Source organism: Homo sapiens, chromosome 10 (assembly GCF_000001405.40).
Source record: "Homo sapiens chromosome 10, GRCh38.p14 Primary Assembly".
NCBI classification, from domain to species: Eukaryota; Metazoa; Chordata; class Mammalia; order Primates; family Hominidae; genus Homo; species Homo sapiens.
Window position 1 is genome coordinate 88,662,350 of NC_000010.11, and position 16,839 is coordinate 88,679,188.

General features: G+C 36.4%; 1 protein-coding gene across 5 annotated transcripts; it reads left to right on the forward strand.

Moving 5' to 3' along the window:
- Positions 1–2,092: 2,092 nt before the first annotated feature.
- On the forward strand, positions 2,093–16,465 carry LIPF (lipase F, gastric type). Of its 5 annotated transcripts, none has more exons than NM_001198829.2 (11): positions 2,093–2,142; positions 3,130–3,210; positions 4,938–5,053; positions 5,220–5,337; positions 6,209–6,407; positions 7,488–7,597; positions 9,480–9,616; positions 11,239–11,385; positions 13,237–13,308; positions 13,860–13,931; positions 16,096–16,465. In NM_001198829.2, exons 2-11 carry the CDS (start codon positions 3,192–3,194, stop codon positions 16,330–16,332), a joined length of 1,227 nt encoding a protein of 408 aa, NP_001185758.1. In that variant the 5' UTR covers positions 2,093–2,142; positions 3,130–3,191; the 3' UTR covers positions 16,333–16,465. The 5 variants fall into 5 exon arrangements, with proteins under 5 accessions (NP_001185758.1, NP_001185759.1, NP_004181.1 ...); NM_001198830.2 differs by having other exon boundaries at positions 6,308–6,407; NM_004190.4 differs by lacking the exon at positions 3,130–3,210.
- The last annotated feature ends 374 nt before the right edge of the window (positions 16,466–16,839 follow it).

The window sequence follows — 16,839 nt, forward strand, 5'->3', positions numbered from 1 at the left end:
TCATGAGTAAAACGTACCAAGCAAAAAACAGACAATTTGATCTTTGACGAACCTGACACAAGCAATGGGGAAAGGATTCTCTATTTAATTAATGGTGTTGGGAAAACTGGCTAGCCATAGGCAGAAAACTGAAACCAGACCCCTTCCTTATACCTTATACAAAAATTAACTCAAGATGGATTAAAGACTTAAAATAAGACCTAAAACCATAAAAACCCTAGAAGAAAACCTAGGCAATACCATTCAGGACATAGGCATGGGCAAAGTCTTCATGTTTAAAACACCAAAAGCAACGGCAGCAAAAGCCAAAATTGACAAATGGGATCTAATTAAACTAAAGAGCTTCTATGCAGCAAACGAAGCTATCATCAGAGTGAATAGGCAACCTAAAGAATGGGAGAAATTTTTACAATCTATCCATTTGACGAAGGGCTAATATCCAGAATCTACAAGGAACTTAAACAAATTTACAAGAAAAAAACAACCCCATCAAAAAGTGGTTGAAGGATATGAACAGACATTTCTCAAAAGAAGACAGTTATGCCACCAACAAACATATGAAAAAAAAGCTCATCATCACTGGTCATTAGAGAAATGCAAATCAAAACCACAATGAGATACCATCTCACTCCAGTTAGAATGGCGATCATTAAAAAGTCAGGAAATAACAGATGCTGGAGAGGATGTGGAGAAATAGGAACGCTTTTTCACTGTTGGTGGGAGTGTAAATTAGTTCAACCATTGTGGAAGACAGTGTGGCAATTCCTCAAGGATCTAGAACCAGAAATACCATTTGACCCAGCAATCCCATTACTGGGTATATACCCCAAGGATTGTAAATCATTCCACTGTAGGGAACACATGCACACATATGTTTATTGCAGCACTATTCACAATAGCAAAGACTTGGAACCAACCCAAATGCCCATCAATAATAGACTGGATAAAGAAAATGTGGCACATATACACCATGGAATACTATGCAGCCATGAAAAAGGATGAGTTCATGTCCTTCACAGGGACATGGATAAAGCTGGAAAGCATCATTCTCAGCAAACTAACACAGGAAGAGAAAACCAAACACCGCATGTTCTCATTCATAAGTGGGAGTTGAACAATGAGAACACATGGACACAGGGAAGGGAACGTCACACACCAGGGCCTGCCAGGGGCTAGGGGACAATGGGAGGGATAGCACTAGGAGAAATACCTAATGTAGATGATGGGTGGATTGGTGCAGCAAACCACCATGGCGCATGTATACTATGCAGCAAACCTGCACATTCCGCACATGTATCCCACGAGCAACAGATGCTCATGATGGTTGTAAAGGATCAACTGTATTTTAAAACATAATTTAATATATACTTTTAATAAACACATTCATATTGTTCAAACTATAACCCATAGATTTTTTTGTTTCCTTTTTTTTAACTTTTATTTTAAGTTTAGGGGTACAAGTGCAGGTTTGTTACATAGGTAAACCTGTGTCCTGGAGATTTGTTGTACAGATTGTTTCATCGTCCAGGTATTAAGCCTAGATTTCTTAGAAGGAAAAAGACACCAAAAATATGTTCTTAAAGGTCAAGGGCTGGGTTTTGTATGATAGCTAGACCATTATCTGTAGGATTTGAGACCCTGGTCAAAGACCATAATAAAATATTAATCTTTGCTGAACACATTCACTTATCTAACCATCTAGTCAAAATAGCTTATGCGCTGCATTTTTAAAGAATAACAGGTGGCCTTTTGTCATTTTATGCCTCTCTATCTGAGCCAAACTATATAATCATTTGCATTATACCTTTGGCTCAAAAACGTTTATATGTTTAGGCTATCAAGGATTATTTTTAATGGTTCCTAAATCATTTTAATCCTCAGAACTACTTTGGCCAATATTTGTCTTTGTTAAAAGTTAAAGGTGAGCACTCAGTATTATGTGAAAATGAATGCAATATTTAATTTTTAGTTTTGTCCTGTTAACATTAGATGATGCCCAGATAGTAAGTCTTTTTGGTAATGTAATCAGTGGATGAGGAATCTGACCATTGTTGAAGGTTTTGTATATAAGAAGTCAATACAACATTGACCAAAATACTAACCAGCCAGAGAAACAGAATCCTAACTATTTCTGAGGAAACTGTAAGTAGAACTTCTGCTGAACAAAATTGTTATTTGAATTATTAGATTTTTTCTTTATCCCAAGTGATGCATTTTTAAAGGCTTAGATATTTGTTGCATATTCACCTGCATAAATGTATCTGTTTAAATTATGGCTTATTCCTCTAGGATTTGATTTATTTTATTCTTTTTTTTGTATGGACATGAGACTCTTAATTATGGAATGACAAATTTGTTTATTATTGCAATTAGTGCCTAATGTGAAAGTCTCATAATTTCTTAACTATTGAATTACAAATTTGTTTATTAAGTTCCTAATGTGAAAGTCTAGTCTCTGTGACTCTTCTTTTTGAGAAGGAATAGATCAGTAATCTAGTGACATATAATTGGCTGTATTAATATGCTATGTTTAATATTTAATATCATCCAAATCAACTGCTGTTGAATTGATCATTATTAATACGATTGTGAAACCTTATAGGCTATTAAAACATTTATTTAAATTATAAACTTTTCAAAACAGAAGTCTAGACCAAATTATATAAATCTCCCTGGGGATGTCCCTATAAAAGCTGGCCCAGGGTCATACTGAAGGAGTATTACAGTGGGGAAGAACATAGCCTTTGGAAATAGACTAGTTTAAAATATGGGCTCCACTACTTTCTATATATTTGGTTGGGCGAGTCCTCTTTTAGCCTTACCTTGCTTATTTGTAAAATGGATAATATAATGCTACCTACTTCATAGAGTTGCTATGAGAATTAAATGAGATAATAGTCATAATAACTATATTTAACTAACGTTTATGAGATGCCCAGCATGTTAAGAACTTTACTTTTGTTATCATAATGAATTCCCCTAACATAGAGAAATGTACTATTACAGGCCCTGTTTTATAGATGAGAACACTGTCTTAGCAAGATAGTTCATTTCACGTATACCATGTTGAACACACAGTACAGCACACAGTGAGTCCTCTGTATGTGTTAATTACTGGTATTTTCCTAGGACTTGGCAACAAGCATTTTGAGAAATTTATTCTGCCCTTGAACATCTTTGAGCCCATTGAGATGTTCTCCAACGCAAACAGTAGGTTAAGTGTCCTCACTTTACAATGGCAAATCACTTAATGGAGGTCATGTGGGTTCCTGAAATGTTTGATGAAAGCCTCTGGTTTGAATGTTACAACACTACTGGTTAGTCTTTATATATTAGTTTATCTCTTCCTAAAATATCACGGTAAAAACAAGGCTTAGTTAAAAACTGATTTTTTTTTTTTTTTTTTTTTTTTGAGACGGAGTCTCACACTGTCTCCTGGGCTGGAGTGCAATGGTGCGATCTCCGCTCACTGCAACCTCCGCCTCCTCGGTTCAAGGACTCTTGCGTCTCAGCCTCCCAAGTAGCTGAAATTACAGGCGCGCACACCCGGCTAATTTTTTTGTATTTTTAGTAGAGACGTGGTTTCACCGTGTTAGCCAGGATGGCCTCGATCTCCTGACCTCCTGATCCGCCCGCCTCGGCCTCCCAAAGTGCTGGGTTTGCAGGCATGAGCTACCGCGCTCTGCCAAAAACTGATTTTTAAGAGATACCCTTAAATCTAATCCTATACTAAACCAGTGGGCAAACTATTAGACCAGAGGGTCAGATTTAGGCCTTGAGAGTTCTGGTCTGGTTTTACTGTAAATCAGGAACTATGCTATGTGCTCTGCATGAATTACTATAAACGGGTTTTCTTGAAATATTATCAGCAACTGGGAAGTCACCACTTTTCAAAGAATTCCACTTGAATCCAAAGATCCAAATATTACACATTCTTCACTGTATTCAAGTCAAATATTTCTACATATGATCTCGAAGTATTGCTCCTAACATACAATTTCTCAATAAATATTTATTGAATAATTTATTTCTGACACACTAAAAATGAAGTGATTTAAAACTGTCCTCTACATGGCTTCCCTTCAAATATTTGAGGACAATATCACTTCTCTATTGAAGCTTTTTCACCAGCTTAATATCTGAAGATTCTCAAACTTATAATCAGTGACTACAACATAGAAGGAAGTTCAGGTGTTGTGGGCCTAATACCAAATATTGTCTATAAGGCTAGGTGTGGTGGCTTATGTCTATAATCCCAGTGCTTTGGGAAGCCCAGGCGGGAAGATACCTTGAGGCCAGGAGTTCGAGACCAGTCTGAGTAATGTAGAAACACCCTATCTCTAAAAAAAAGAAAAAAAATTAGCCAGATGAACACCTGTAGTCCCAGCTACCCTGGAAGCAGAGGTGGGAAAATCACATAATAACCTCAAATCAGTAAATGTTTATGGAATAACTATTATAAACAACATTTAAAATCACCATGATTACTTTGAACACACGTTATACAGAGATTGGATATAGAGAAGTCAAAGGCCCACACATCCCTCACCCAAATCTGGGCTCTCAAAATAAGCAGGCAAAAGTCTTAAACACAAAGCATAATAAGGACACATTGTTATGCCAATTAGAGGCTTTTTTTTTTTGCCAATTAAGATTAATTCAGTATGGCTTGAAACCAAGTGGAAAATGTTCTTAAACAAAAGGAATCAAACAGTGAAAACAAGTTAAGCATTAAAAGCTTAAACATGTTAAGCATTAAAACATGTTAAGCATTAAGTTACCTGTGCTGACATCCATATGTCTCATTTTATTGCCCAATGGAATATAATCAAACCCAAGCATTCCTCTACTTAGCACAAAGGTAAAATTGGCATAAAATATAAGCATTATGAAAGTATAATGGATTAACCATGGCACGGGTTATTCTTTTCTTTCAGGCAGGTCCAAAATGTGGCTGCTTTTAACAATGGCAAGTTTGATATCTGTACTGGGGACTACACATGGTTTGTTTGGAAAATTACATCCTGGAAGCCCTGAAGTGACTATGAACATTGTAAGTTACTCTGGGGAAAAACTCTATAAAACTAAAAGATGCTATTATTTAAAATCATAATGAGTTAAAGATTTTATATGACCAATTAAAAATAAACAGTAATATTCATTTATTAGATATATCTAAAAATCAACTAAAATTTAAACTTTTGGGTTTGCTTCCTCAGAGTCAGATGATTACTTATTGGGGATACCCAAATGAAGAATATGAAGTTGTGACTGAAGATGGTTATATTCTTGAAGTCAATAGAATTCCTTATGGGAAGAAAAATTCAGGGAATACAGGTATATATAAGCTTCTTTTCTTCCTTCCTTTCTCTCTTTTTTCCTTTCCTTCTTTCTTCTTCCTTCCCTCTCTCCTTTCTTCCTCCAACTTTTCCTTCTTTTGTTCTTCCCTTTTTCCTCCTTTTATTTCTTGCTAAAAATGTAATGTCTTGCTCATTCTGGAAATGCAAAAATAAGCTATATTTTCAGTCTTCAAGGAGATCATCATCAAGCCAATGAAATAGATAAGTAAATGAGTGATTATAATAATATGTGATAAGCTCAAGCTACAACTGTACATAGGATATTAAACTGAAGGTTTTAATAAAATTACCTAACTCAGCTAAGGGAGTCAAGGAAAGCTCACTCTCAGAAACAGTAACTGGATGAAGATCTAAGGATCAGGAAGAGTTAGCCAGGGTGTGTGTTGCAGAGGGGAAGATGGGGAACCAATTCAAGGCTCATTTCCTAAACACATACAGGCTAATTTTCACTAGTACTATTAAAAATTTACCTTTTACTCATTGTAGAAATGTTATGAAGTACAAAAAGAAAAAAAAAAGATTACTCGTAATTTTACCACTCACAGTTTACCAAATTTAACATTGTGCTGAATTACCTGAGAATATAATTTTTTCAATAGTTTTATTGAGATGTAACTGGCATATAATAAGCTGCTCATATTTAAGGTGTGCAGTTTCATAAGTTTTGGCATCTGAGAAATCAACTCCCTGAGAAATCATCACCACAATTACGATAAGATATTCAAAAATAATCAACTCAATCAGGCAAATGTATTTAGTGCTAGTCATATGGAAGACTGTTTCTAGCCTCACATTTATCCTAGAATAAGGAATACATTTATAAAGTTTATAAACATTTTCTTCCTTAGGCCAGAGACCTGTTGTGTTTTTGCAGCATGGTTTGCTTGCATCAGCCACAAACTGGATTTCCAACCTGCCGAACAACAGCCTTGCCTTCATTCTGGCAGATGCTGGTTATGATGTGTGGCTGGGCAACAGCAGAGGAAACACCTGGGCCAGAAGAAACTTGTACTATTCACCAGATTCAGTTGAATTCTGGGCTTTCAGGTAAACAAAAGGGACAATTAAAAATAAACACTGGGCTTTAAAAGCATAGGCATTTGCCCCTTCTAATCCAGTCCCATTTTAACAAATTACACTCCAAGTAGGAGGATAAACAAGTCATTTTCATTCTAATCCATTCTTGGATTCTTCCATGTACCTCATTCCTAGGGTAGCTTTTCCTTCAAACTTTTGTGATCTCAGGAGTCTCCATTAGGGATTTCCAGAAAGTGATTTTCCAAATGGAATGAACAATATGGCTGAAGCAAGGAAACTCACAGCCCCTGGAAAATTCCAAAGGAATGTCCATATGGATTCAAGAGAGAAGTAAAAACCCATTTAGGGGTAGGAGAACAGCAATCTGAATCATCATCAATAGGAGGGGTGGGGAGAGTGAAATTCAGATATCATGGAGAGATTATCATGGGCTTCTCTCACTGGTCTTCTTGTGCCTTATTCCTGGAAATTACTGATGGAGGTAGAGAACAGAACAAAACCTGGCTGCTGATGCTAAGGCATGAAAGTGTTTCAAGAGTTCTAGGAGCTGAAAGGAAACCTGTGTGTCCCAGGTGTAGCGGGAAAAGGGAAAATGACATGAGTGAAGACTGAGGTGCAGATGGGGCAGTAGTGGTGATAGTGAGAGCCTTGGGCCTCATTCTGAGTGCACTGAGAAGTTTTAAAAAGAGGAGTGGCATAATACAGTTTTCATTTTCAAAATATCATGTTGGCTGATTTGTGAAAAATAAAATAGAGAAAGACAGGATTTATATTAAATGACATGGAACACAGCATACACATTATTATTAAATCTGACATTTCATTTCAGGGATAGAAATAATTCCCACCTACAGATACTATCTTGTTTGGATTCAATTGTGGCTGCAATGCTGCGCTTCAGAAATGATGTCAGTTGTTTATAAGAAGCTGCCCCAAAGGGCACCTGACATCCACTGATGGTCTATAAGCATCAATGTTTAGAGAATCCAGTTTTCTGTATCCCAAAGGGATCATTAGCTATAAATGCTTGAATTTTAGAAACAATAGCAAGGAAATGTATTCACTTTCATTTTGTCTTTTTCCTTTCAGCTTTGATGAAATGGCTAAATATGACCTTCCAGCCACAATCGACTTCATTGTAAAGAAAACTGGACAGAAGCAGCTACACTATGTTGGCCATTCCCAGGGCACCACCATTGGTAAGTAATGGCAGTCAAGGCCAAGTGGTTTACTTCTCATAAACACTTTCCCAGTGGTTATGGTAGGCATGTTAGCAACCACACTAATTGCTTTCCATTCATTTAATGCCTCCAACAACACAATGACATAGGGACAATTATAATTCCTATTATATGGGAAAACAAAACAAGGGGATACAGTTCGTGCAAGGTTACATGGATTATTACCAATAGGGTAGCTCAGGCAGTCTGACTCCCAAGCACATACTCTGAAGCATTATACCATACAGCCACTGACCTAAGTTTATTCTATTCATTTGACCATATTTATGGGGCAGGCTCCTATGATGTATCAAAAGAATACAGAAATAAATAAAATAGATGAAAACTTCTGCCTTTGTACCATTTATACTCTAGAGATAGGAGGCAGAGAAAATAAAAAAGGTTAAAAAGTAAAATGTAATATATTTTAGATAATGCTAAAGCTATGGAGAGAAAATAACCCAGGGAATTACATTAGAGAGCACCAGAGGGGTTCACAGAAATTGTAGATTGGTAACACAAGCACTCTTTGGGTAAAGTCATGATGAAGGTCAGAGAGTGAGTCATGTGCCTACCTAGTAGGCATCAGATGTTCCAGGAAGACAGAATAGCAAGTGAGAAGAATCTGAAGCTGGAGCACACCTAGTTTGTTCAAGGAACAGCAGTGAGGCTATGCCTTGTGTGGATGAATCAAATTGAGAAAGAGACAGAGAGAGTGAGAGATGAGATCACAGATGTTGGGGAGGAAAGACTGTTCGGGGCTCTTTGGCTGTTGTAGGGATTTTAGCTTTCACTCTGATAAAAAAAGAAAACTGCAGAATAATTTTGAATCGAAGAGTTACATGATTCATAACAGGATCCCTTTTGTTGCCAGGGGCAAAGAGGCAGGAGCAGAGAACCAATTAGAGGACTCTTATAGTACCCATGCAGGAGATGGTGGTGACCTGGATGAAGGGTGTTCTTGGAAAAACCATTCTTCCACAAATAGAACCAGACTACATATTATATAGTTGTCTATATCTGAAAGGGTTTTTTTTAGGCCATTCTTGAGTATCATCGATATGTCATTATTGACAGTGGGAGGGCCTTGCCTATGTAGCTATACTGCAGCGTTAAACTTGATAACTACTTGATCACATCCTCATCTGCCAGTATACTACTGCTTACAAAATTAATTCATTACTGAATGTATTTACTATGTATAGATATTTGAATTCTCTTGGGTCCTTATTTATCAAGCATTTACTATGTGCCAAGAATCATGATAAATTCTTTCTTTACATGATTTACTTCCTTTAGTTCCTAACAATCTAATGAAGCACTCACCACTATCCTTGTATTTCAGAGAGGGAAACAGTGGTTCTTAGAGATTAGGTGGCTTGTCCAAGGTCACAAAGCTAATAAACCACAGAGCCAGGATTCAAATTGAGTTTGGTCATATTTAAATTTCTACTCTTAACCTTTCCACTTATATACTCTACTCATATTAAGTGTTAATTAATTATCTCATTGTAATGAGATACATTTAAATTCATAAAAAATATAAATTCATAAAGAAATTCATAAAAAAATTTTTTGTAACCATATGAGTATCCTAAATTTGGTCTATTTTCTAAGGTCAGATAAAGGTTTATGATAACTTTTAAAACGTTCCAGCCTCATGTCCCCATAGAAAAATCTATGAAAATAAAACAAATATACCAAAATCTAATCACTGAGCCAGCAGAGATGCCAATTTCTCAGGCTGTCTCAAACACCATCCTTAGTAAGTCCAAAATAATGTCACACTTATAAAAACAAACAAAACAACAACAACAACACACACACACACCTTTTTCACCAGTTCCTTGTTCTTTTTCAGGTTTTATTGCCTTTTCCACCAATCCCAGCCTGGCTAAAAGAATCAAAACCTTCTATGCTCTAGCTCCTGTTGCCACTGTGAAGTATACAAAAAGCCTTATAAACAAACTTAGATTTGTTCCTCAATCCCTCTTCAAGGTATGCAATTCTCTTTAATTAAGTGAATCTAAGACCCTTGATTGCCCATGGATTTTAAAGTTATAGAAAGAGAACAGAGTTATAAAAAGAGAACAATCATTTTTATATCCAAAAATGGAACTGTTCGCATCTGTATTATTTCTTCCATAGCACTGACCATGTTTGAATCTCCTTACAGCCTGCGAGATCCCCCTTTCTTTCTTTGTTCTTCATGTGAGTCAGCAATGCCTGGGAGTAGTTTTGCTTTTTCACAGATGGTTTGTTTATTAAGCACTCTACACAGTTGTGTCAAGGCTGTGATTCCACTCCAGGAGGAGGGAAGATGAAATAAAAACAAAACAAAATAGTCAAATGAGAAGACTAACCCACTTGGGCCAGAGAGACTGGAAAGAGGAGGGAAAGGAAGGGGAGGGAAAGGGAGAAAAGGAGGAAATAAATCAGTGATTGAGTGAGGCAAACACCTTGAGATCTCTCATGGCTTTCCCTTTTGGCTTTCCTAAGAGCTCCTTCATCTTTAAATGGGCGATCTCATAAGTCAGTGGTGTGGATTTCAATAAATTATAAATATTAAGTGCCTTATGCAGTAGGCACACATGTTATGGAATTAATCGTTTTGTTTGACAATGCTTAATACCCTAATTCTCTCACCCAGTAAAACCAACACACACACACACACACACACACACACACACACACACACACACACTCTCTCTCTCTCTCTCTCTCTTTCCTTTAGGGGAACGGTTTAGCCTCAGGTTATAAAATATAAGGATTCCATTTCCTTCTATGGTTTTGTACTATTCATCTCTTTTCATTCTGTATTAATATGTATGTCTAAAGCCTAAGAGAACTTACCTATAGGCAAACTACATTTGGAAAACTTTTATTAAAATCTAAAATTTTTTGATGGCCCAGAAATATTTATTGGCTACATTGATTGAGAACTTATTTCCTACTCATACTCAGATTTTCTGATAGGCAATGCAGACGTAGATTAAAATTTAGAAAAGCAATAGACCTCAAGTTAGAGGCTTGGGTAAGGATTCTAGGTATAATCGAGCTCTAATTAGCCCAAGACCCTAACTCATGTTAACCTCATGTTTCCTCGTGTATAAAATAGAGATGACAAAATATCTGCCTTCCTCAAAGAGAGTTGGGGCAAACTCTTTCAATTCTTATACTGAGCCTCATTGCCTCTGTAAAGGCTTTGCTGAAAATATGGCCAAGTCACCATTTCTCCTCCCAAACTTTTCACAATTTATTGCTGAAATCTCACATCTTGGCACTTCATTATGACAGTCTGTCATGTGTTTTTAAGATTTTATCCCACAACTCCTATCACCCCAACTAGATTGTAACTCTTTGTGTCTTATACTTCCTCTCAGCAGCCAGTACAGTTCTCAGTGCCACAATAGATACCTAGTATTGATATCTGTGCTGCCCATTTCACAACTTTATTAGGGAATTAACTAAATGAAAGTATTGGAAATTCCTAAAACAACATGTAAGAATAAGAATATATCATCATCCTCATCACACATGTATAAGTAGATTAGATAAACTAGTGAGTCTTTTCTGCAGCTTGATTGCTACAACCCTCTAATAGTGCCTTTATTTTTCAGTTTATATTTGGTGACAAAATATTCTACCCACACAACTTCTTTGATCAATTTCTTGCTACTGAAGTGTGCTCCCGTGAGATGCTGAATCTCCTTTGCAGCAATGCCTTATTTATAATTTGTGGATTTGACAGTAAGAACTTTAACACGGTTAGTATGCATTTCAATTTCTATATTTTGAGCAACATCTTTGATTACTTGTTTCATTGCCACTTAGAAGTGGTACTTTATGAGAACTAGGAGTAGGTTCAGAACTGCGATATCCTGATAAACATGAGAGAAATCACAAATCATTGCTCCCAATTTAATCACTTCCAGCATCCTTCCATCACCCCAGTTGCCCCTAAACCAAATAAACAACATGAAGAAAAAACACAATTCACTACTCACTTATGACCACCTAAATACTAGGTGTTACATTTAAATTCTGTAAGAGAAAGGACTGAACCATATATTTTAGCAGGCTCCTTTGTGAGAAAAATGTCTAGATATTGAATAAATGTTTTCAATAAATATTTCTAATGCTGACAGTCATTTTGATAAATCTTACAGACTATATTTCTGAGCAACTATTTATGTAAGACTTTGCCCATATTCTTTTTTTGAGATAGAGTCTCGCTGTCACCCAGGCTGGAGTGCAGTGGCGCAATCTCGGCTCATAGCAAGCTCCGCCTCTTGGGTTCACGCCATTCTCCTGCCTCAGCCTCCCGAGTAGCTGGAACTACAGGCGCCCGCCACCACGCCCGGCTAATTTTTTGTATTTTTAGTACAGTCGGGGTTTCATCGCGTTAGCCAGGATGGTCTCAATTTCCTGACCTCATGATCCACACGCCTCAGCTTCCCAAAGTGCTGGGATTACAGGCGTGAGCCACCACGCCCGGCTGACTTTGCCCATATTCTTTATCTACCTTTTCATTCACTTTGTATTGAGTTGGAGTTTCAAAACATATGGACAAAATACACTATCATAGTTAAGAGTATGGATTTAGATCAGTTTAAATTCAAACCCTACATTTGGAACTGACTTAAACGTCTCTGTCTTGATTTCCTCATCCACAAAATGGGTTATTGGGAAGATCAAATGAGCTAGTATGTTTAAAGCATATAGAACATTGTACAAAGCATATAGCACATAGTAATAGCATATAAGGTTTTCTACTACTATTCATAGACAACTATCTCCCCTCCAAATTGTCACTTTAGTTATATACCCTTGAACACCTAAGAAAATTACATCTATTGATAAGAAGGTATAATTCTATGAAGTGTTGTGGTTACTTGTCATTCCATATGTGGAGTTTAACAGAGAGTAGCCTGTCCTCATCACACGAACAAAAGGCAGAACAAATTACTGTATTCCATTAGTGAGAGTCTTATAAGAAAAATAATAGTAAAATAAGACAAAGGAAACAAAGGAAATTAGAGATTTCATCTTCTGCGTAATAATTTGCAGAAGACCATCTTCAGTCTCCAATGAAGATGGCCAATTTGTTTCACTATGGCCACAGTCCGCTATATTAATGGCATTAAGAGTCACTATGAAGTGGCCTTCTGCAACTGGAGAAAGGAACTTCAGTTTGTTGCTTGGGGTTCTGCAAAGCAAGAGGCCTGTGTGTGAATATTTAACCTACAGCACTCTAGCACTGGGTAGAGAAGCATAAAAGCTGAGAATTTAGACTCAGAGACCCAAATTAAAGTATCTGTCTCCATTCTGTGTGGATCTTGGACATTTCTTTAAACTTCTTTGTGCCCCAATTTTCATGTTGATAAAATGGAACTAATAAGTTCTCCTCATTAGGCAGCTACAAATTAAATGGGTTAACACATGCAATTGCACTTTGCAAATTCTGAAGTGACATACAAATGTGTTGTTCATATCCTTCCAGTAAATGCTACCTTTAAACACTTGACCTGAATCAGAAAACATAAATCTTTACTGTTTTTAAGAAACTGAGTATGTGTCTTAGTATGTATATAATATGTGTGTCTGTTGATTTCTAGAGTCGCTTGGATGTGTATCTATCACATAATCCAGCAGGAACTTCTGTTCAAAACATGTTCCATTGGACCCAGGTATTCTTTTCCAAATGCTGTTAAAATGTATTTTGTGAGTCTCAACCCTTTTCACTTTACCTAAACACATTCTTAAAATATCCTGCTGAGTACACCTGGAAGGTAATTTTTCTGGCACTGACTACCATACAAAAATAACTATGAATTTATTTCAAAGAAGAAAATGCTTTTTATTTTATTTTATTATTATTATACTTTAAGTTTTAAGGTACATGTGTACAACGTGCAGGTTTGTTACATATGTATACATGTGCCATGTTGGTGTGCTGCACCCACTAACTCGTCATTTAGCATTAGGTATATCTCCTAATGCTATCCCTCCCCCCAGCAAATGCTTTTTATGACTTGGTATGCAAGAAAAATTATTTTGAGTGAAGCTGCATTTAAACTTACATAAATACCTTGTCCTAGATTATTAATAATCTTTTGGAATGAGAAAAATGTTTCTTAATAATTGTTTAAATTGAAAATAAACTGCTTGGAAATGTTTGAATTTTATTTTTCACAATATAATAATTTTTATTTGTTTGCTTTTAATTTCTCTATGTTAGGCTGTTAAGTCTGGGAAATTCCAAGCTTATGACTGGGGAAGCCCAGTTCAGAATAGGATGCACTATGATCAGGTAAGCTTCTTAAAGATGGAATTATTCACATTTTGAACAACAATACTAACTATTTAAATGTTAAAGAAGAAATTATGTTAACTGCGCATCTGTTTTCCAAAGGAATGTTGATGTTCTGTCTCTCATTCTCCCACATGACTATGCATTCCTGCTCTGGTGGCTACGCTCATTTAAAGAGGTTTACAAAGCTGCCCTCAAAGTACTACACCCCTGTGTGTGAGAGACTTCCCAGGACTTACCACTACCCATTGCCATTACACAGACCTGTCCCATATCCCAGATCCCCAGCACACTGTCCTCTCCTTTCTGAAGTACTAATACCTGATATAATAAGCTAATAATTCTAACTGTTCATGGAATTTCTGGTCTTCTTAAACAATACCCTTTCCTTTGTTGACAGCCAGAGGAGTGATTTCAATGGGATATATTCCCAAATAGAAGAAAAAGATGCCGTGCTTGCAGGTCAAGGCTGGAAATATTTTACAATAGGCAGAGGCCTTTGGCATAGGCAGACATATTAAGCAGTCCTCACACTTGCTGTAATAAGAATCCAGACTTTGGAGCTTATCTTATCTGCAGTCAATATGAGTTTGGGCAGTCATTTCTTCATCTCTCCACCCAGGCTCAGGAAGTTGTTGACAGGATTTAGTGCTATAATATCTATAAGCTCTTAGCTCAGGGTAAGCTCTCGGGTTATCACTGACTATTTTTGAACAAGGGAAGCACCCTATAGTATTTTGTAACCTTCTCTTCTTCCTTTTCACCACATCCAATTTTTCCATCCAAGTAGTAGCTGAACAACTCTACTAATTTTCATTTGTTTCCATGACTTAAAATTTAGAAGGAATTTATATGTTTTAACAACAATGTCTTATGTGTAGAGAAGGTGCCCCCCAACCTTGATTTTGCATTTTTGATATCTTTAAAGTTTTCAGAATAGCATGAGATCAAACTTTTGTTGAAAACATTTTTTCCTCCACCATCACTTTCTCAAATCTCCAAAACACACAGGCTTGCTTTGAGTCTCTCTTTCTACTGGACTCTAATACTCATAATCAGAGGACTTCATCTTAGAGGAACAAGAAACCCAGTCCCCAAGTCCACCCTTCTTCCAACTAAACCAATAATATACCAGGTTGGTCTTTAACTAACTGAAGCAATGACACTAATTTAAGAGCCAGGGCCAGCATCTAGAAAACTCTTTGAATAATAGGATGTAAGTAAAATAAGCTGGGTTTATAATTATGAATATTCTCCACACACTCCCTTTTCTCTAATATTTAGGAAATATAATAGAAATCATGAAAATATTAGGGAAAATTACATATCATAAAATATTTTGCTATGGCAAGTTGGCTATTACACAAAATGTGAGAATACAGAAACTTTTAGTATATTGGATTACTATTCTTGAAACTATGATCTAAAAAAATCTAACAAAATTCTCTCTGGGCAGCAAGAAAATTTGAGATAATTCTCTTATTCCTTTTTCTGCTTTGTAAACCTCTTTAAAATCTATGTGTGAATTGTGATTTTCGAGAAACAGGACATGGGGATGATAATACCCTTTCTCAGAATTTGAAGCAACATTTTGTAAATACTCAGGTAAGTATTCAACAATTACAGCTCCATAACTGAAACAACTGACCTATCCCCTGACCATAACTGGGAAGTCAATACAAAGCCAAAATAAATGACTCAGGACATTTTGAGATCATATTTTAGAGTGTTTGGGTAGAAACAACCTATTAACAATTAGAATCTAATCAAATCCATTTCCCTTAGCTTGAGTTGCAATCTATGTTCTTAATTTGTAAGACTTACTGTCCAAAGCCTTGCTATTCAGAGCATGGTTTGGAGCCAATGGCATCAGCATCACCTATGAATGCAGAATCTCAGGCTGTTCCCCAGATCTACTGAAACAGAATTTTTACTTCAACAAGATCTTCAGGTAATTCACAGGCCCATTAGAATTTGACAAGCACTTATCTAAAACATATTGCATTCACTTTGCTCTGTGGATAAAGGTGGTTTTCTCTGTGCAATCATTGCTAGAATTCACTTATAAAACCGCCAGTTAATGTTATACACTCTACTTGAATAGTAAGTACTGGGTTTAAAGTGTGGTTACCTAAACTCTGGTTCTTTCTCTTGTGTTTTCTAGTCCCAACCTCCCTACTACAATGTGACAGCCATGAATGTACCAATTGCAGTGTGGAACGGTGGCAAGGACCTGTTGGCTGACCCCCAAGATGTTGGCCTTTTGCTTCCAAAACTCCCCAATCTTATTTACCACAAGGAGATTCCTTTTTACAATCACTTGGACTTTATCTGGGCAATGGATGCCCCTCAAGAAGTTTACAATGACATTGTTTCTATGATATCAGAAGATAAAAAGTAGTTCTGGATTTAAAGAATTATCCGTTTGTTTTTCCAAAATACTTTATTCTCTCATACATAGTATTTTCATAATGTTTGACATGCAGTGCTTCTTTCTGTAATTTTGACTTTAGAAATATATTGGCATCAACAAACTTCCATTTGTCATTTTGAATTTTTTTAATTTAAAGAAATTTGATTTTTCACCTGGAAATTTATCTAGAAATACTTGAGAGAATATATTTCTGGGGAGGTGAAACTTCTCATTTTCCCATTCAGTTTCTCTTCTGAACTCACTTATATATGAGCTGTGAGCCATAAGTGTTTCTAAAGGACAGTGTTGGCTTCATATTCGCTCTGCTTATGTACACTTGATACTGAGTATATTGCTTTCTATTGTTGATGAAGCTAAGTCTTTCCATCTGTGTAGTGGGGCCTATCACTTGCTATTTTGCATATTTAACCCCATGGAAAGGCCAATTGGGATATAAACTGAATCAACTCACTTTCACTTCCCAGGGAGTGGAGA

Coding starts and splice junctions, on each gene's coding strand:
- LIPF (NM_001198829.2), top strand. Junction 6,408..7,487: donor GTTGAATTCTGGGCTTTCAG/GTAAACAAAAGG, acceptor TTTTCCTTTCAG/CTTTGATGAAATGGCTAAAT. Junction 9,617..11,238: donor TTCCTCAATCCCTCTTCAAG/GTATGCAATTCT, acceptor TTTATTTTTCAG/TTTATATTTGGTGACAAAAT.